The sequence below is a fragment of the Homo sapiens genome, chromosome 4, assembly GCF_000001405.40.
Source record: "Homo sapiens chromosome 4, GRCh38.p14 Primary Assembly".
NCBI classification, from domain to species: Eukaryota; Metazoa; Chordata; class Mammalia; order Primates; family Hominidae; genus Homo; species Homo sapiens.
In genome coordinates this window covers 128,921,382-128,943,737 of record NC_000004.12, presented here as the reverse complement: position 1 = coordinate 128,943,737, position 22,356 = coordinate 128,921,382, and the positions used below count along the sequence as shown (strand labels likewise).

Sequence of the window (22,356 nt, the reverse complement as noted above, 5' to 3'; positions counted from 1 at the left end):
GTCCATTGTTGAGACAGTTCAGGAAATATAATCCGTTTAACCTATGATAAAACAAGAAGTTTACAGAACTAGAAGTTTATAAAAAGTATTTCTAAGACATATAATGGAAAAATATAAAAGTAGATTTTATAATTTAGTAATATAGTCAGCTATTGTGTTAGTCCATGGAGTTTATTGATTAAGTAAAGGAGTTTTGGTTATTATCCGCTTCATCCTTTTTTTGTTGCTTCAGTTCATTTCCTTGAAGTTCTCCATACACAGTGATTCTTAATGTTAGTACAAATTTGAAAGAAGTCTCACATTGATTTTCTAGATAAGTGATAACAGTTCAATTCATCTGTTCTTAGTTAAAATTTGAATATATTTAAGTTGAATGTATTTGCCTGGTATAACATAACATTTTGAAACCACATAGTTTCAGTCTAAAGTGGAAAGAAATGGCTCAGAATAAAGCAAACAAAAGTCCATGTGATAAAATGTAGACAGACTTTTATCTTCTACTATAGATCATTAAGTTTAAGGATTCTTTTCATTTCGTTTTTTAATCAGCTCCTCAGAAGAAATATCACGTTACCAAGAAATGATTCAGAAACTTCAAAATGTATTGGAGTCTGAGAGAGAGAACTGTGGGCTTGTCAGTGAACAAAGGCTAAAACTTCAGCAAGAAAATAAACAGTTACGGAAAGAGACTGAGAGTTTAAGGAAGATTGCCCTGGAGGCTCAAAAAAAAGCCAAAGTAAAGGTATTTTCAAGACTAGAGTTAAATGTGTACTTATGAAAATCAAAGTATAGAGAATATTTAGAGAGACCTAGCAAAACATCTTTAAGGCCCCCTTTTTTTTTGCCTTCTCATCAGATAGCACTAAATCATAATTCAGAGTGTTAACCAATCATTTCTGTGTTGTAGAACTTGGCAGGCATACTTGAAAATGATTGCCTTTGCTACACACAAAAAAATTCTTTTCCAACCACGAAATATACTGATATTCCTGCCAAAGCAATTTAAGCAGCACTAGCAAAACCATGGATTAGATAACTTTACAGACTGCCTTCCTCTCTTCTCTCTCTGTAGTAGCCTTTGAAAAGTTGAACTTCTCTAAAACTAACTGTATAGAGGATGTTAAAGCAGTAGGCTCTGAGAACCATTCATAACTAGTCTGAAAATTCCATGGCAGGAAGAAGGCAAGAGGCAAAAATGTCATCTAAAACAAATTCCCTTTCTTTTCTCTCTTATTTCCTTCTCCTCTGATGCTTATATGGTTTGGTAATAGGAAGGTGATCCTCTTTTTAAGGGACTTTCAAGTAACACAATCTTCATCAACATCTTGCTTACCTTTCCCCATGTCATGAGACTTTTGTAAAAAGTGGCACTAACTTTTTATGATAAATATCTACATCTTCCAATTTCATAGTAAGAATATGAAGAGGTCATGTCACTGTTTTATTTTGGTTTTTATTGCTGCAAGGACTCCTAAGAAGTCATATTCCAACCTAATTCATGTCAACATAAATTTATTGAATGCCTCCTATTGCAGGTATGAAATGCCCTAGTTATTTGTAAAACCTTGAACTCCGAAATGAAAAAGAGAGTCTTATTTAAAAAGAAGTTTGTACTTTGACCTTTAGACTATGGGAGTTCTTTGAAGAACAAGGAGAGGACCCATACCGCCAGATATCAAGACTTGATAAAAAGCTAAAATAATTTAGACAATGTGTTATCAACATAAGAATAATCAACTTGATCAATGGCAAAAAATTGAGTCTAGAAACAAACTCATTTATCATAATCACTTGATTTATAACAAAGGCACCATTGCAGTTCAGTGGGGGGAAAACTGGCTTCACAAATGGTGCTAGATCAGTCAGATCCATATTTTAAAAATAAAACTTAACTCCTATATCACAGCATATATGCAAATTAGTTGGAGCTGCTTTGTAGACCTAAATGTGAAATGTGAAATGATAGTTTCTAGGAGAAAATCTTCTTGCCTTTGGGTTTGAAATATTTCTTAAACAGAGCACAAAAAAACACTAACCATGGTGAAAAATCCAAGCTGAACTGGATTTCACTAAAATTAAGATATTTTTAGTCACCAAAAGACACCATTAAGAAAGGGAAAAGTGGGAGAAAGTATTTGTAGTGCATATAACCAAAAAGAGAACTCATATCCAAAATATAAAAACTTTTACCAATTAATAAGAAAAATATTAATAAGGAAAAAACAGCTAATAGCTAATAAAGAAAAAAATAGATACTCCATTTCCAGAAAAGGCCAAAAGACTTAAGTAGGCACTTCATAAAATAGCATATAGGCAAATATGTTCAACTTCATTATTTTTTAGGAGAATTTAAATTAAAACTACAAGATAACACTACACACCACCAGAATGGCTAAAATTAAAAAGACTAAAAATATCAAGTATTTTTAAGAATATAAAGCAATTAGAACTTTGATAGATACTGCTGGGAATGTAGCATTATCTTTTAAAGCCAGACATACATACATCCTGATACGGTTTGGCTGTCTTCCTACCCAAATCTCATCTTGAATTGTAGTTGCATAATCCCAGTGTGTCATGGGAGGGACCCAGTGGGAGGTAATTGAATCATGGGGGCAGGTTTTCCCATGCTTTTATCTAAAGAGCTTTTAAAAATATAAGAGAAAACTATTTGTAACCGAATAAAAAATCATGTGAGAGTTGAACAGAATCTGCAATCTAAGAAAAAAAAACAGTAGGCAGTAAGCAGTTTAAACTCACCATTAATTAATTGCTAAGTATCTCTAAGTGAACGTGCAGCTAAAAGTATTAAATGGTACGTATTTACTTTAGAGTCTAAAATTCAGTCATAAGAAAGTAATTAAAATATTTCATAAATAAGTTCATTGCAGCATTATTTATAATAAATTAGAAACAACCTAAATATCTAGAAGTAAATATGTTACATCTATATGTATAGTAAAATTATGGAAAATACAAAACATTAAAAAAAATATATAAAGTCCCTCTACTCCCAAAACTCAGATAATACTTCTAACTTCTACATAATTGCTTTTATTTATGAATTTTAAAATTGTTACTATAGTGTATAAAGGATTACTACCTGTGTGTACACATATGTATTTTTGACATATAGTGTATATGTTTTTAATAAGATACTGTATTGTCATTAAAAACTATATTTCCAAATAATTTATAATGCATTTATATTGATACACCCTATGATTGAAAAATTTATGTGTATACACACATACATGTAGTAATCCTTTACATACTGTAATAACAATTTTAGAATTCATAAATAAAAACAATTATGTAGAAGTTAGAAGGGATTATCTGAGTTTTGGGAATAGAGGGACCTTATAGTTGTCTTTTTAATGCTTTGTATCTTCCATCATTTTATAATATATATTTGTTTTGTTTTCTTTTTTTTAATCATGGGTGGGGATGGAATCAATGAATTTTCCCTATCTAGTACTCCAGTTGATCCGTCTTTAACATTTCACTTTAATGCTTTGTTATTTTCCATAATTTTACAATATGTATTTGTTTTGCTTTCTTTTTTTTATAATGAGTGGGGATGGAATCAATGAATTTTTCCTATCTAGTACTCCACTAGATCCGTCTTTAACATTTCAGGATAGTAACTGATGTTATGGACAACAAAAGAGTAATAGAAAGTTTATCTACCCCACATATCTCACCAAATCTGTATCTAGCTTAAGAGAATAGCCATTGATAAAGAGCCGAACGTCTTAACTAACTAGCTATAATTCTATTTTATGGAGGAAGAAGGCTGTAAGATAAATTGCTTTGTAACTGATTCTTTCTTTGACAAAATAGGAACCTGGTGCACCTACACCTTGCTGTTTTTCTCCCTCTTGCAAAAGAGTATGATCTTCAGTAGATAAACTGAAAGAAGCCAAAAAGATAAAGACAGTGAGATATTGGGAGGTCAGTTGGCTACAAACCTTAACAATTTATCATATGAAGTTTTCATTTGATCTTAATGCCACTGCATTGATTTCAGCCCTCGCTTTCTCCTTTTCTAACCACTCCTTTTGCCAGGGCTCTCCATTTCTTCATGGTCTAAATTCCGCCTCATTACCATCTAAAATTAAGAAATGGAGTCGTTTCCAGCAATTCAGTTATCTACTTGTGTGGATATTTCTCTGTAAAGGAAGGAAGAAGCAAGAAAGAAGAGAGACCATAAAACCCCTTTTCCCATCCAACATTCTGAATTTTATCATTAATAGAATTTTTGTAATCGGAGATCAGTTGTTGTGGCCCTTAGCCTGTCAGCATTACCACAGACCTGTCCAATTTAGGTAGTAATTCGAATTGTATATACTAAAGGCTATGGTGCTTGTTCGAGACTGAATTTTGACATCAAAAAGCCACCATTCAATCTGCAAATATGTTTTGACAACCGTACTGTGTTCCAAAAGTTGAAATAGGTAAGCAGAAAGAGATTATTTCAGGCAAAAGAAACAGCATGTGAAAAGAACCAAAGAATAAAAAGGCATTATAGTGGAAATAAAAGAAAGGCAAGGGAATAGTGTGGCACAACACAAGCTTGTAAAAGTAAGCAGGGACCAGGTTATCATAAAGGGTCTTAAAGCAAAGCTTGTGAAACGATAAATAGATTTTCCAAGTGAAAATGGGGAGTTAACTAGGCAGCCAAATTCTAAAACTGTACAGATGCATAGATCAGTTTTGTGTGCATATGTGGTTTGTTGTTGTTGTTGTTTTTGTTGTTTGTTTGAGAAGCTCTGTTGCCCAGGCTAGAGTGCAATGGCGTGATCTTGGCTCACTGCCACTGCCACCTCCCAGGTTCAAGCGATTCTTCTGCCTCACCCTCCTGAGTAGCTGGGATTACAGGCACCCACCACCTCGCCTGGCTAATTTTTGTGTTTTTAGTAGAGATGGAGTTTCACCATGTTGGCCAGGCTGGTTTCGAACTCCTGACCTCAAGTAATCTGCCTGCCTCAGCTTCCCAAAATGCTGGGATTACAGGCATAAGCCACCACACCTGGCCCATAGATCAGTTTTTAACATGTGTTCATAAGAAAGAACTCACAGGGGCTGTACTTTTTGTTTTCCACCTGAGATGTTAGACCAACATGACTTCTCCAGAGGAGATGAAGATTAAGGAAGGGAAGGAGAAAGGGCAGGCAATCTAAATTTGCAGAATCTAATAATTCAAAAATTATTAAGATAGCAGCAGGGGTCAAGTGGCCTCAGGAGGCTTGCACAGCAGTAATACAACACAAAACTAACACATCCAAGATTGGTTTTCCAGTGTCTGTATTTATAAAGTCTTCAATTTCTGCATGTGTACTATTTGAGAAAGCAAATTGAAGAGTTTTAGGAAGCATTTTGCATTTAGCAGGGGTGGCAAGGACAGAATGTTTGCAGTTTGCTCCAGTGAGCCAAGAATTTTGTTGTTGTTGGGCCTTGTTTTGTGTTTTTTGACACACTAAAGTTGATCTCATTGTTTTTTGAGTTTGAAAGTAACCGTATTTAATGAATTACTCTCATTGTTTTTTGAGTTTGAAAGTAACTGTATTTAATGAATTACTAGAAGTCTAGCCAGCTGTGGACATTTGTAAAGCAATTAAAGTATCACAAAATAAGTGTTCTTTATACTTCTTTAGTATAGCAAAATATAGATGGCCTGAGAGTACAATAAGGAAGTCAAATCACCTTGCTGCCTTTTTCCACAAGTGTTTTTCATCTGAACCACAAAACATAGAAAAATATTGCAGTAACTTTTTTCTCAATTTCCCCAAAAATGGTACTTAGGTAGTTACATTGTAGACACAGATGAAAGAACGCAAGTCATTATATACATTGGATGCCTTAAAGCATTAGGGCTTAATTCTCTCCCTGAACCCCAGCAGAGAAAGCTTCTAGGGTATCCAAAGAGCATTTACTTATAAGTTCATGCTGCAATTAAAGTGCTTTTACTATAATGACATAAATTCTTAGAAGTGTACTGAAGACATTTTCGTAAGAGATTTTCAAAATCATTGTTTATATTGTCTCTTTCTCCTGAAAAATAATTCATTCATTAATCATTCACTAATACTGGAGCTGAAGTGGTAAAGAAATTCCTGTATATAATTATCTTTGACTTTACAAAGCCCTTTGAAAGAGTTTCAAATTTAGTATGTAAGTCAAAAGTGGTTTGAGTAAATACTTAACTCAGATACCAACAGCATCAACACTTTCCTTGGATTCTGGCAACAGAAATCAGAGTAAATAAAGAGAGAAGTGTTATGTTATAATAAATAGACTTTTCTTTTACTGGCATTTTAAGGTGTTAGGGAAAGTGTTGCAAAAATATATAGTTCATCATAATTCTAGTTTTACTGACATAACATTATAAGTTTTCGTTTGTAATGAAGACCAATTGTAAACTTAATTTCTTTTTTCTTTTTTCTTTTTTTTTTTTTTTGAGACAGAGTCTTACTCTGTCACCCAGGCTGGAGTGCAGTGGTGCGATCTCAGCTCACTGCAACCCCCACCTCCTGGGTTCAAGCGATTCACCTGCCTCGGCCTCCTGAGTAGCTGGGATTACAGGCGTGTGCCATCACGCCCAGCTAATTTTTGTATTTTTAGTAGAGATGGGGTTTCACCATGTTGGTCAGGCTGCTCTCAAAACTCCTGACCTCGTGATCTGCCCACCTTGGCCTCCCAAAGTGCTGGGATTACAGGCATGAGCCACCGCACCTGACCAAACTTGATTTCTTACGTAGTTTTCTCATCCAAACATTTTTGTCCCTCAGACAACATAATGAATGATTCCTTTTGTATATATCATTGATCTGTATAGCACCTATAAGAAAAGAAAAAGAAAATACGTTTTCATTTTATTCTTTAGATCAGTACAATGGAACATGAATTTTCAATAAAGGAACGTGGATTTGAAGTTCAATTGAGAGAGATGGAAGACAGTAATAGAAATTCCATTGTTGAACTGAGGCATCTCCTAGCGACTCAACAGAAGGCAGCCAATAGGTGGAAAGAAGAAACGAAGAAACTTACTGAAAGTGCAGAAATTAGAATCAATAATCTAAAGTAAGTCTACTGTTAGTTGTTTGACATGTTTTACAGAAGAAATTCTTTAACCTATAGTTTAATGTCCTTGCCATAATCTTTTTTAAAAAATGTATAATTCTGGACCTTACCTTTTTCTTCAGTAAATATTTATGAAACTACTATAAAAATATTATGTCATAAACCAAAGCAAATATTATATTTTTTACAAATTTCATGCATGTTTCAGAAAATGTAATAGTTTTTGTTGGATATATTAGTTTAGATAGTTGCAACAAAATCTATTTCGCCTGCAAAGCCTGAAATATTTGTTCTCTGGCCCTTGAAAAAAAATTCTCTGACCCTTCCTCAGATGAACTTGAGATTTTGTGTTGAATGAGATGGGAAGCTCAAGAGCTTCAACATAGGAATGAGATCAGAGGGCTTTGAGCAAAGTGATGTGATCAGACTTAAATGTTCAACAGATGAATGTGATCACTGAATGATCTACTATATCACCATATGATTTACTATAGTAAACCTAAAACTACTCTAAAAAATAAAATCTATTAAAAAAAAAGAATAGACTGTAAAGAGGCAAGGGTAAGAGAAGGGAGAAAGAAACTAGTACTATGATAGTCCAAGTATAAAATGGTGGTGGCTTAAACTAGGTTATAAAGGGTTGGAGATAATCACGGGAAGTTTGCTTTGGGGTGTTAAGTATGAGCTGCCCAAAAGATATTTAAGTCAGGATATCAACTAGTAAATTATGTATGTAAGTTGATATTCAGGGAGGAGATTACAATAAGAGCTATAAACTTGTGAATCATTAACATACACATGATTTTTAAAGTCATGGAATGAGAACATGTTGAAAAAGAGGATAGAGAGATGGAAACTGTGTGAGGACTGAGTTCCAAAATGTAAAGTTTAGGAAAATTATTCCACTGAGAGAGACTGAGAAAGCATATCCAGAGAAATAGAAATAAAGACAAATAGTAAAAATCAAAAATAAAAATTCAGAAAAGGAATAAGCAATAATGGGTGATATTTATTGAACACTTAATGTGTGCATTTTTCTAAGCAACTTACATGTACTTAATCTTTACAGCAACCCCACAAAGTGTATAACATTATTAATCATGTTTTACAGATAGCCAAACTGAGGCCAAAGGAGGTTAAGGAACTTGTATAAGATCACATAGATAATGAATACACAGATCTAGGTTTTACATTCAGTTTGGGTAAAGACACTATGCTCTTAACCATTATGTTTTATAAAAATCTGTTATTCATTGGTTGAGTAAGGTAAGGACTGAGAATGGACCTTCTAATTTGATATCATGTGGTGACTTTGTTAACCATAATAAAAGGAGTTTTGGTGGAAGGTTGGAATGACATATATTTAAAATGAAAGAGTTAGTGGTGAACTAGGCAATTCTAACCAACCCTCCACCACAAGTAAAAAAGTTGAATTATACAAAGCATCTACAAAGAGCACTAAAGAACTAACAACAAAAAAAAATCATTACCAGTTAGGCTCAATGTCAGGGATGCAAAGTTGGTATAACATTAGAAAATCAATATAATTTACAACATTAACTTATTAAAAGAGAAAAATCATAAGGTCTTTTCAATAGATATAGAAAAAGCATTTGATAACATTTAATATTCCTTCATGGTTATTTTTTCAAAAATATTCCTTAAAAAACTAGGAATAGAATTTCCTTAATTTTCTAAAGGCATCTATTCTATAGCAGACATTGTTCTTAATGGCAAAAAATAATGTCAATAACATTCTTTTGAAGACTGACAAGATGTCAAAGAAGTTCACTATTACCATTTCTATTGATCTTTGTACTGGAGTCCTAATCAGTGCACTAAGGCAAGAAAAAGAAATAAAAGGTTGACAAAACCGAAAGAAAGAAAACAGCCACTCTTAACAGACAACATGGTTGAATATGTAAAAAACCCAAAATAATTGTTAGACAAATTATTAAGTGAATATAGAAAAACCGTTTGTAATCTTCATACCAGTAACAAACATTTCAAAAATAAAACTTTAAAAATAATTTATAATTACATCAAAAAACATCAAATACCTAGCAACAAATCTAACAAACAATATGTAAGACTTTTGTTTGAAAACTATATATAATATTAAGAGTAATTAAAGAAAGTCTAAGTAAAGGCAGAGACCATGTTTATTAATTAGAATGCTAAATATTATAATTATGTTCATTCTCCCCCACCAATATACCTATAGATTCACTGTAATCCCAGTTAGAATCCTAGCACATGGAGCAATATCTGAAGTATATTAAGTTAAAAAAAAGTAATATAACAGTATGTATAGTATTCTACTTATTATCTAAGAGTGAGGAGTGCATGTGCCTGTGTGTGTTTATATACATGTATGTATATAAACCAACATATGTACACACATTTGTGTTTTTAAAAGTGAAGAGGTGAGCCAAAAAATAATTCAAAGGTAATTTCTGAGAGGAGAGAGCGGGACAGAATGAAGGCTAGACTTCTTTGAATGAACCTTGTTTTGTAGATTTATAAGCTTAATTTTGGAACTATATAAATGTTTATATAATTATTTTTTGAATTAAATCAAAATTTGAAAAGCAATACCTAAAAATCAAAAGTAAAATTAAACAAATTAACTTAATTATATAGGAAGTTGATGGCTTAACTACATAGATGAATTATTTCAAGTGATATTAAACATAGTAATTAGACTGTGTGGGATAAAGCCTAAGGATTAAAGGAAATGCAAGAAATCATAAACTGTTTCTAGTAGTCATATTGTTAGAAATAATATTCATGGTGGTGTTCTGAAACTTATAATTATAGGATAAGGCAGTTGAGTTATTATAAAAGTCTTTAAGAAACAAATTTTTCATCATAAAAGAGAAGAAACTCAAATTGAATAAACTTGTAGTTCTAAATTGGAATTGGAAATAAGAGTTTATGAACTCAAGATGTATTTTACTCGTTAAGAACGTGTATTCTCTAGTTCAGTCTTTTCAGTAAACAGTAAAAACAAGACCAGTATTCAGTTGCAATGAGGTCTCCTAAAAGAAACTAGGACTCTTTGGAAAAATGATTGATTACAGATTTGGGACAGGAGAGTACAAGATAAGCCTAGAAAATACTTTGTCATCACAAAAAGCAAAGAGAAGGTATCAAGATTACTGGGGTCACATCAAAATGGCCCATGGACCAACTTAAGTTAGCTCCCCCTGGCCCATGTGGGGACTATCTGGATATCAAAAAGAATATGTGCAATAAATTGAAACATATCAAACATATTTTTTAAATTCATGACTTCAAAATGGTTTTAAGTAAAGAAAAAAAAGTCTTTGGTCACCTTTGGAAGATGCTGTAGATTCAATTCATTCTAAAAGAAAAAAATGAATAAAAGGAAAAATCAAGTGTTTATTCTACCTTTCCTTTGTTCACTGTATGTTATCAAATGCCATTTGGTCTTTTGTGCCATAATAGCCCTAGTGTGAAGCCTCCAACTTTGTTTTTCTTTCTCAAGATTGTTCTAACTGGGGTCACTTGTGGTTCCATACAAATTTTTGGATCATCTTTTCCATTTCTGTGAAAAATGTCATTGGAATTTTGATAGGCATTACATTCAATCTGTAGCTCACTTTGAATAGTATCGACATTGTGACAATATTAATTTCTTCAGTTCATGAATACAAGATATCTTTCCAATTATTTGTGCCTTCTTAAATTTCTTTTATCAGTTTTTGGTAGTTTTCAATATAGAGATTTTTCACCTTCTTGGTTGAATTTATTCCTAGGTATTTTATTGTTTTAGTAGCTATTGTAAATGGAATTGTTTTCTTGATTTCTTTTTCAGATAGATTGCTGTTAATGTATGGAAAATGCTACTGATATTTTGTGTTTTGAACATACAGTTTTACTGCATTTGTTTATGGCAGTTTTTTGATGAGGTCTTTAGGGTTTTATATATATTAGATCATTTCATTTGCAAACAGGGACAATTTAACATCTTCCTTTCCAATTTGATGCCTTTTATTTGTCTTGCCTAATTTCTCTGGGTAGGACTTTCAGTACCATATGGAATAGAAGTGGCAAAAATGGGCATCCTTGTCATGTTTTTGACCTTCAGAGGAAATAATTTTAATTTTTCACCATTAAGTATGATGTTAGCTGTGGATTTGTCATATATACCATTTATTGTGTTGAGGTACTTCCCTATTTTGGGTAGGAAATATGTTTTTTAGAAAAAAATCAAAGAATGATCTCAAAAACTATAGATATTTTAGATTTTAACTTAGGTTTTATACATGTATATTTTAATATATAAGGTTAAATATATTTAACCAATAAACACTTTAATTCATGCCATGAATATCTTATAAATTCAATTTTTATTACTAAATCTTATTTTAAATGTTCTGTGGTTTATACTTTTTAAAAAACCTATAATGTAGGTACTCTAGAAAGGAAATTTTGTTTCAGTTTTGTTTTTAATTACAGACAAATCTATTATTGTCATGAATTATTCCTCCTCAAAAGCATAAACTGAGGCAGAGATCTGGTATGGGAACAAAATGTGGGTGTTCCCACATATGGCAAATGCTAAAGATTAAAACAAAGTAGAGATGAGAAAGAAAAGGACTTGAATCAATTTAGAGGAAGATGGACAACATACCAGTGATATTAAACCAGATGGGCTATAATTGTTAAAAAAAAAAAAAGGGATAGAAATATAATAGATTTTAGGAATAAATATAATTATCTGGCTTGAGAGTTGAAGGTAAGAAATAAGCTACAGAAGACAGGATTCAAAGCTCAGCAGTGAATAACAATTTACTGGAACATACATTTGTAACCAAAAATTAATCGTAAATGGAATCTTTAATGATTTCTGATTAAAATTCTGTAGGCCGGGTGCGGTGGCTCACGCCTGTAATCCCAACACTTTGGGAGGCCGAGGCGGGCTGATCACGAGGTCAAGAGATCGAGACCATCCTGACTAACACAGTGAAACCCTGTCCCTACTAAAAATACAAAAAATTAGCCGGGCGTGGTGGCAGATGCCTATAGTCCCAGCTACTTGGGAGGCAGAGGTGGGAGAATGGCGTGAACCCGGGAGGTGGAGCTTGCAGTGAGCCAAGATTGTGCCACTGCACTCCAGCCTGGGCGACAGAGTGAGACTCCCTCTCAAAATAAAATAAAATAAAATTCTGTAATAGCAAATGTTTATATAATGAAATATATCTGCATTTGTTGGCTTCTAAGAGGCAACAAATCTCGACAATAAAAGATAGTCGAATGCTGAAATCTAAGAAAGAAATACACAAAAGGCAGTTCCTTTTTAGTCATACTGTCGAATTACTATTCCCACAGAGATTATTCTGATTTGCTCTTTGCTGCTCAGTAATTTTATTATTAGCTTTACTGCTGAATTACTAATCTCTTTTTTCTGAAGCTCTCAATTTTACCCATTGGAGAAAAAAAAAATTACAATTTCCAACCCCCCAAAAACCTTCTGCCTAGTTTCTATTTCTCTCTCTCTCCCCCCACCACTCAGTCCTTCCTTCCCTTATTGGCTTTTAGATGCCTATGCCTGTATTTAAAGTGAAAATAGTTTCTCCTTCTCATTTCCTCTTCTTCTCTACATTTTATTACCAAGCTTATTTTATCCAGATGTTTGAATAATTTTTCTTTTACTTTCTATTTTTATGTACTCACAAGCTTCAAAGAAACAAGCCCTTCTGATCTTATCAAATTCTTTTTTTAAAGATATTCATTCCTTTACTATTAATTATCTGTTGAATTCTTCACTGCACCCTCCTGCAGCTTTACATCTTACCTGGTATTTGCCCTCGTTTTGTAACTGTCGATAGAACATTTACCATATGTCTTGTTATTATCTTAATTTCTACATTTCAAAACTCAATTTATATTACATTTTCCAAATTGATTTCTTCTTTAACCGTCTTTCTTCATTGATACCACTATTCCCCTAACTCCTGGATATAAAACCTTATAGCCATCTTTGACTCATTCTTTGTATTTATCTTCTTTCAGTAACCGAGTCCTATTGATTCTTCTTTTGAAACGCCTTCTATCTTTTCATTCCCACTTCCGTGACTCTAGAACTGCATTAGTTACCTATTTCTATGTAACAAATTACCCCAACATTTAGTTCTTAAGGAAAACATTTATTATTTTATAATTTAATGAGTCAAGCGTTTACTCATGAAATAATTGGAAGTGGCTTATCTGGGTGAATCTGACACAAGGTCTTTCATGAAGTAGCAATCAAAATGTCATCTGAAGACTTAATGGGAGCTGGAGGATCTGCTTCCAAGATTGCTTACACCTCCGTGGATAGAAGGCCTAAGTTCCTATTTATGGCCAGATACCTCACTTCCTAGCCCTGTGACCTTTCCACAGAGAAGTTTGGTATCCTCATGACTTGGCAGCTGTCTTCCCTCAGAGCAAATAATTCAAGAGAAAGCAAAAAGACGTAATGCTTTTTGTGACCTAGTCTCCTAAGTCACATTTTTCTATTCATTAGAAGTGAGTTGCTAAATCCAGACCACATTAACAGTAAGGGGTTTTAGGGCCTACCTTCTGAAGACATGAATCTCCAAGAATTTCTGGACATATTTTATAACCACCGTAAGACCAAATCTGTGTATTTTACTTGTGTACATACTTGCTTATATTGTCCTTTCACCTCATCTTTGCATGTAAATTCCTTGATCTTGAACTTCTCAAACTCTAAAACAGTGAGAAATAGATTTCTCTTTTTAACCATCCAGTTTATGGTATTTTGTTATAACACCATGAATAGACAAAGACAACAACACAGGATAGATGCAAGTCAACTTCTGTTTTTCCCATGTTGTAGCCATTCATCCCTGAAACATTTAATGACAAGTCTCTCTTTTCCTTGCTATTATACTTTGCACTGCCCCTTTTGTCATAATTTGTGTTCATATGTGTGTGGATCTGTTTCTGACATCTCTTTTATGTTCTTTTGGTTTGTTTGCTTATCCTTGTGTCAATACCACACTGTCTTATTTATTATACCTTTGTAAGACACTTTTGAAACAACTACAAGATTTGAAAAGTGACCTGATACCTAATTACAGCCATTTCTCTTACCTTGTTCTTTTTTGTAAAAGTATCTTACCTATTCTTGGTTCTTGGCATTTCTGTATTCATATTAGAATTGTATGTCAAGTTCCTTAAATAAATTTGATGGAATTTTAGTTTGAATTCTGTTGACTCTATAAATAAATTTAGAACAAGCAACATAATTAAAATTTTTATAATATTAAGTCTTTCAATCTATGGACGTGAAATAACTCTCCATTTGTTTAGGTCTTCTTTAATGTCTCAGTAAAGTTCATTTCCTTGTAGAAATCTTACACCTTTGTCAAATTTATTTTAATTTCATTTTCTCATCATTGTTTATACACAGAAATGTGAAAGCTATTTGTTGCTGATGATACTTTCTTTAACCAGTGACCTTACTTAGGACAAAAGCTGTAGAATCTTTTGGATTTTGGTCATATCATCTATCAATAGAACAGTTTTATCTCTTTCAAATAACTGTATGTTTTGTTTCTCTTTCTTGCTTATTGCACTAGCTAGGACTTCCAATGCAATGCACAGAGTAGGGATAATCAGGATTCTTATTCTTGTTCCCAATCTTAAAAGGAAAGCTTTCAATTTTCATCATTTCATATAATATTTTCTGTGTTTGGTGATAACCTCTATCACATTCAGGAAGTTTCCTTTTGCTATTACTTTACTAAGAGCTTTTATCACAAATATTAATTTTTTTTTTTTTTGCGAGACGGAGTTTCGCTCTTGTTTCCCGGGCTGGAGTGCAGTGGCGCGATCTCAGCTCACTGCAACCTCTGCCACCTGGGTTCAAGTGATTCTCCTGCCTCAGCCTCCCAAGTAGCTGGGATTACAGGCATGCACCACCACGCCTGGTTAGTTTTTGTATTTTTAGTAGAGATAGGGTTTCACCATGTTAGTCAGGCTGGTCTCAAACTCCTGACCACAGGTGATCCACCTGCCTCGGCCTCCCAAAGTGCTGGGAGCCAGCATGCAAAGCCTACAGATATTAAATTTTATAAAAGCTTTTGCTGCATTGTTTGGGGTGATTATTTGAATTTGTTCTATGTAATCTGTTAATGGGATAAATTTTATGGATTGATTTTGCTAGTGTACCAAATTTTCATTCCTGTGACAAAACCAACATGATTGTAATGCATTCTCCTTATATATATTTCTGGATTTGATTTGTTAGAATTTTATTTAATATATTTTTATCTATGTTCATGAGAGAGATTGACTGAAATCCTTTCTTGAACTCTCAAGTTATATCAGTTATGTTAGCCTCAAAAACAAATTGGAGAGTAGCCCTTCTTTTTCTGTAATCTCGTATATTTTACGGAGTATTGGAAGTGTTTATTCCTTGAATATTTGATAGAATTCTCCAGTGAAATCTCTTGGCCTGGAATTTTGTTGTTGTTTTTGTTGTTGTTGGGTTTTTGTAGGAGTGTTTTTTTATCGTTGAGTCAATCAAAATTTCTTGAACAGTGATAGAATTCTTCAGATTTTATATTTCTTCATTGACATAGTTTTGGTAAATTATATTTTTATAGATATATGTCAATTTCTTCTAAATTTTTAGTATTTTTGGATGTTTTTCATATTATTGTCCATTTAATGTCTGCAGCATCTGTAATACTTCCTTTTGCATTCCTGATATTATTGTACCTTGTCTCTTTTTTTTGTTATCACTCTTATCAGAGTTTCTCAGTTGTTTTACTCTTTATAAATAACCTTTGATTTTTAATCTTTTCTATTTTGTGTTTATTACATAATTTTATTACTTTCTGCTCTTTGTTACCCCTCTCCTTTCTTTCATGTTGCTGTTCTTTTTTCTTACTTCTTGAAATAGAAGCATGGCTCAAATTTTCACCTAATGCATGCATTCTTCAATGTTATAAATTTTTCCCTATGTCTTAGCTTTAGTATACGTTTTGATATACATAGTACTATTATTTAGTTCAAATTATTTTCCTTTTTTTTTTTCTGAGACAGGGTCTCACTCTTTCACACAGGCTGATATGCAGTGGCACAATCTCGGCTCACTGCAACCTCCACCTCCCAGGTTCAAGCAGTTTTCCTGCCTCAACCTCCCAAGTAGCTAGGACCACAGATGTCCACCACCACAGCTGGCTAAGTTTTGTGTTTTTTGTAGAGACACGGTTTCATTATGTTGCCCAGTCTGGTCTTGAACTCCTGGACTTAAGAAACTGATCCTCCTGCCTTGGCCTCCCAAAATGCTGAGATTATAGGAGTAATTGGCCTCAAATTATTTTCTAATATTTATTATCTTTTTTAATCTACATGTTATGTATAAGTACATTTTCATATAAATTCTAAAGTTCTTAAACATATGCAGTCATTTTAGTTATTTTTTTCTTAATTGTTTCTGTTTCATAGATTTAGAAACACTAGATAGCTCAGTTTCAGGCCATTTCATTCACTGATATTTAGTGTAATTCAAAATATATTGGGATTTGTTTTTATTGTATTATTTAGTACTTTCTACTTCTGACATCTTTGCTTTATTCCTTTTTTTCTTTCTCATCTTTTTAATTCATTTGGTTTTTTTTAATCATTCTACTTTTTTCCCCAATATTTGGAAATTAATTACTCATGTTCTTTTGGTAACTACCCTACATGTTATACCACACATACTTAGGAAGTCTGAAGGTAATCAAAGCTTTTATTCTCCTCCCAGAAAACTCAAGAACCTTGAAACATATTAGCACCATTAATTTCTCTTACCCAGCTTATATATTATTGTTGATAGGTTAATTACTATTCATTTAGTAAAAAATATATTACTGTTACAAACTATATATGAACAGTAATAAATGTAAAACAAAGTAATAAATATATATGAACAGTAATATATTTATTGTATATTACTGAATGAGATACTAGAAGCAATGTAGAATAAAGTAATAAATATATATGAACAATACTATTCTCATACATTCCATCTGGGACTACTTTCCTTATGTCTGAATTATGTCTTTCAGAAGTTCCTTTGGTAAAGATCTACTGGTGGTGAATTCTCAACTGCTGCTCATAAAATATATTTACTTTTTGTTTATTCTTGAAAGATATTTTTGCTGGGTATGGAATTCCAAGTTGACAGGTGTTTTCTTCTAGAACATTAAAGATAACATCTTTGGGAGCTGTGAACTGACAAAACATCAAGAGTTTATGCAGTAATAAGAGACATGAGAGTTCCAGTCGGCCAGAGTGGAACATCCTTGTTGAACACCCAGAGTATACAATAAAGATTTCAGGATCACTTTATCCTATTGTTAAAACTAAACTAGCCTAGAGTAAAAAGAATTGAAAATCTGTCTTGAAAAAGCTAAAAACAAGCTTCAAAATGAACAAGCTGGTCCTCAAGTAACTTAATTACCTGCCAGAACAAATCCAACAAAATAGATAAACAAAAGCAGGAAAATGGTACCCATAACCAGAAAAAAAGAAAAACAAAAACTAGTGCATCAAAACACACCCAGAAATGAGAGGGGATAAAATTATTATTTTTTTAATTTTTATTAATTAATTAAAATTATTAAAACATGAGAACTTTAAACCAGCCATTGTAAATATTCTTAGTGATTTAAAGGAACACATGAAGATGATAAGGAGAGAAGTGGAAGATGCAAAAAAGGAACCAATGGAAACCTGTGGATGAAAAATATTAGAGAATTTTAAAACTCACAAAATGGGATTAACAGCAGATCATACACTGCACAAGAAAAGATCAGAGAACTTGAAGAGAGCGAAAGAAACCATCCAAAAATGAAACATAGTGAGAAAAAAAGACCAAAGAAAAATTATGCACAGAGAGCCTCAGAGACTTTAGGGACAATATCAAGCAGTATAAAATACATACAACTGTAGTCCCAGGAGGGCAGGGATGGGAGTGTGGGAGTGTTTTAAGAAATAATGGGCCAGACACCGTGGCTGACGCCTGTAATCCTAGCACTTTGGGAGGCCAAGGCAAGTGGATCACTTGAGGTCAGGAGTTCGAGACCAGCCTGGCCAACATGGTGAAACCCCATCTCTGCTAAAAATACAAAAATTAGCCAGGAGTGGTGGCACATGCCTGTAATCTCAGCTACTTGGGAGGCTGAGGCAGGAGGCAGAGGTTGCAGTGAGCCAAGATCATGCCGCTGCACTCCAGCCTGGATGACAGAGTGAGACTCCAGCTCCAAAAAAAAAAAGAACTAACGGCCAAATTTTTTCCAAACTTGATGAAAACGCTTTGTGTAGTTATCTACTACTGCATAACAAATTGCTCCAAAATTTAGTGACTTAAAACAGCGAACATTTATTTTCTCACAGTTTTTGAGGATTAGGAATCTAGACATGTCTGAATCAGAATGCCTCTGACTCAGGGTTTCTCATAAAGTTGCAATCAACGCATTGACTAAAGCTGCATTATCTCAGAGCTTGACCAGGAAAGGATCTGCTCCCAAGCTCACTCTGTAGGTGTTGGCAGGCCTCGGGTCTTAACTGGCATTGGCAGGAGACATCAGTTCCTTGCCTTGTTGGTCTCTTTATGGGTCTAAAATGTGGTAGCTTGCTTCCCTCAGAGTGAGGAGAGAGGAGTGAGGGAGAAAGGGAAGGAAGTTGAAAGAGAGAAAGTAAAACAAAAGTCAAGATCTTTGTTTAAGCTAATCTTGAAAGTGACATCATATCACGTTAACCATATTCTATCAATTAAAAGTGAGTCCCTGGGTAGAGCCCACATAGGTGAGACTTCATAAGGACCTCATAAGGTAGGGATCATTGAGGTTCGTTTCAGAGCTTACGTGCCACGCCATTACATCACACCATACACAAAAATAACCTGAAATGAATCATAGACCTAAGCATAAAAAAGGAAAACAATAAAATATCTAAAAGAAAATCTTATGATAAGCAAAAATTTCTTCCAAGACACAATAATAAAGTACAAAAAATTTGATAAAGTGGACTATATTAAATTAAAAACTTCTGGCCAGGGGCAGTGGCTCATGCCTGTAATCCCAACACTTTTAGAGGTCAAGGTGGGCAGATCAGCTTGAGGCTAGGAGTTCAAAACCACTCTGGCTAACAAGATGAAACCCCCGTCTCTACTAAAAATACAAAAAATTAGCCAGGTATAGTGGCCCACACTTGTAATCCCAGCTACTCAGGAAGCTGAAGAGCGAGAATTGCTTGAGCCTGGGAGGTGGTGAGCCAAGATTGTGCTACTGCACTCCAGCCTGTGCCACAGAGCAAGACTCTGTCTCAAATATAAATAAATAATAAAAAATAAAAATAAATAAAATTTTTAAAATGTCTGCTTTTCAAAAGCCACCATTAAGAAAATGAAAAAAGACTGTGAGAAAAAAATTGCAATTAGTATATCTGACAAAGTACTTGATTTTTTTTTAATCTTACAACTCAGTAATAATAGACAATTTTACTGCAAAGTTAAATGTATACTCATCATGCAGACATGCAGTTTTACTCACAGATGTTACCCAAGAGAAATGAAAACACATCCACACATAGACCAACCTGGGCAACAGAGTGAGACCTCGTCTCTACAAAATAAAAAATAATAAAATTAACCAGGCATGGCAGTGCATGCCTAAAGTCCCAGATACTTGGGAAGCTGAGGTAGGAGGATCACCTGAGCCTGGGAGTTTGCAGCTGTGAACCCTGATCATGCCACTGCACTCCAGCCTGGGCAACAGACCAAGACTCTTTCCAAAAATAAAACCAAAATATATCGACACAAAAAACCTGTACACAAATGTTTGTAGATATTTATAATGGCTGAAAATGAGAACCCAAATGTACATCACCAGGTGCATGGATAAACACTCAGAAATAAAAAGGAACAAACCACTGATACACTCAACAACATGGATGAATCTCAAAAAGGAGATTGAAAAAAAAACAGATATAGAAGACTATATACTGTATGATCCCATATGTGTGAAATTCTAGAGAAGGCAATTCTAATTTATAATGATAAAACAGTTTGGATGCCTAGGACTGGGATTTGAGGGGTGGGGCAGTGACTACAAAAGGGAAGAGGGAACTTTTTAGGGCAATGGACCTATTCTGTATCTTTTTTTTTTTTTTTTTTTTTGAGATGGAGTCTCACTCTGTCACCCAGGCTGGAGTGCAGTGGCACGATCTTGGTTCACTGCAACCTCTGCCTCATGGGTTCAAGCGATTCTTCTGCCACAGCCTCCCAAGTAGCTGGGATACAGGCATGTGCCACCACGCCCAGCTAAATCTTGTATTTTTAGTAGAGACGGGGTTTCACCATATTGGCGAGGCTGGTCTCAAACTCCTGACCTCAAGTGATCCACCTGCCTCGGCCTCCCAAAGTGCTGGGATTACAGACATGAGCCACCGCATGTGGCTTATTCTGTATCTTAATTGCAGCGGTGGTTACATGAGTGTATGCTTTTGTCAGAGCTCACCAAACTCTACACTCAAAATGGCTGCACCTTATTTCCCACAATTATATCCCAATGAGGTTGATTTTAAAACCAAAATAAATATTGCCTTTGCATGATTCACTGTCTCCTGTCCTCCTAAGATTCTGATCAAAGGTATTTTAAACTGTTATATTGCATTTATTTGTCTCTCACCCTCTTTATTTTTCATCTTTTTTCATTGTGCTGCAGTCACACAGTCTCTTCTGATCTGTTATTTTACAAATTATCTTTTTTAATGTTCAATTTGCTGTTGTATATTCTCAAGGGGTTGGTTGGTTGGTTTGTTAACTATTATTTTAGGTTCATGGGTACATGAGCAGGTTTGTTGTGTAGGGAAGTTGCATGTCACAAGGGTTTGGTATACCTATTATTTTGTTACACAGACAATAAGCATAGTACTTGATAGTTTTCTGATCATCTCCCTACTCCCACCCTCCATCCTCAAGTAGGTGTCTGCTGTTTCCTTCTTTGTGTCCATGTATACTCAATATTTAGCTCTCACTTGTAAGTGAGAACATGCAGTATTTGTTTTTCTGTTCCTGCGTTAGTTCACTTAGGACTGTGGCCTCCAACTCCATCCGTGTTGCTGCAAAGGACATAATCTCATTCTTTTTTATGGCTGCTTTGTATTCCTTGGGGTATATATACCATATTTTTTTAATCCAGTCTACCATTGATGGGCATTTAAGTTGATTTCATGATTTTGCTCTTGTGAATAGTGCCACAGTGAATCTACACAAGCATGCGTCTTTGTAGTAAAAACAATTTATATTCCTTGGGGCATATACCTAATAATGGGAATGCTGGGTTGAATGGTATACTTCTGTTTTAAGTTCTTTGAGAAATCTCCTAACTGCTTTCCACAGTGGCTGAACTAGTTTCCATTTTCACCAGCAGAGGATAGGCATTCCGTTTTCTCCACAACCTTGCCAGCATCTGTTATTTTTCTGACTTTTTAATAATATCAATTCTGATGTGGGTGAGATAGTATCTCATTGTGGTTTTGATTTGCATTTCTCTAATGATCAGTGATGTTGGGCATTTTTTCATATGCTTGTTGGCCGCATGTATGTTTTCTTTTGAAAGTGTCTGTTCTTGTCCTTTGCCCACTTTATAATGGGGTTGTTTGTTTTTTTCTTATAAATTTGTTTAACTATATTGTAGATTCTGGATATTAGACTTTTATAGCATGCACAGTTTGCTAATATTCTCTCCCATTCTGTAGATTGTCTATTTACTCTGTTGATATTTTCTTTTGCTCTGCAGAAGCTGTTTAGTTTAATTAGGTCCCACATGTCAACTTTTATTTTTGTTGCAATTGGTCTTGGAGTCTTCATCATAAAATCTTTGCCAGGGCCTATGTCCAGATGGTATTCCCTAGGTTATCTTTCTGGGTTTTTGTAGTTTTAGGTTTTACATTTAATTTTCTAATCAACCTTAAGAAGATTTGTGTATATGATATTAGGGGTCCACCTTCAGTCTTCCACATATGGACAGTTATCTGAGCACCATTTATTGAATAGGGAGTTCTTTCCCCATTACTTGTTTTTGTCTACTTTGTCAAAGATCAAATGATTGTGGGTGTGTGACTTTATTTCTGGGCTGTCTATTCTGTTCCATTGGTCTATGTGTCTTATTTTTTACCAGTACCATGCTGTTTTGGTTGCTGTGGCCTTGTAGTATAGTTTTTCATTCATTAACATGG

The 22,356-nt window shown here is 34.1% G+C and overlaps 1 protein-coding gene across 10 annotated transcripts in view; it reads left to right on the top strand.

The window, feature by feature from the left end:
* SCLT1 (sodium channel and clathrin linker 1) overlaps positions 1-22,356 on the top strand; it is a 220,299-nt gene that overhangs the window by 149,802 nt on the left and 48,141 nt on the right. For 5 of the 10 annotated variants that reach the window (XM_047449590.1, XM_017007717.3, NM_144643.4 and 2 more), the window contains exons 17-18: positions 550-742; positions 6,887-7,083. In XM_047449590.1, coding sequence (XP_047305546.1) covers positions 550-742; positions 6,887-7,083 — 390 coding nt within the window. Of the gene's footprint in view, positions 1-549; positions 743-3,843; positions 3,955-6,886; positions 7,084-17,180; positions 17,464-22,356 lie in introns of those variants that run through there. The other 5 variants (XM_047449592.1, XM_017007718.3, NM_001410807.1 and 2 more) reach the window with 3 other exon arrangements.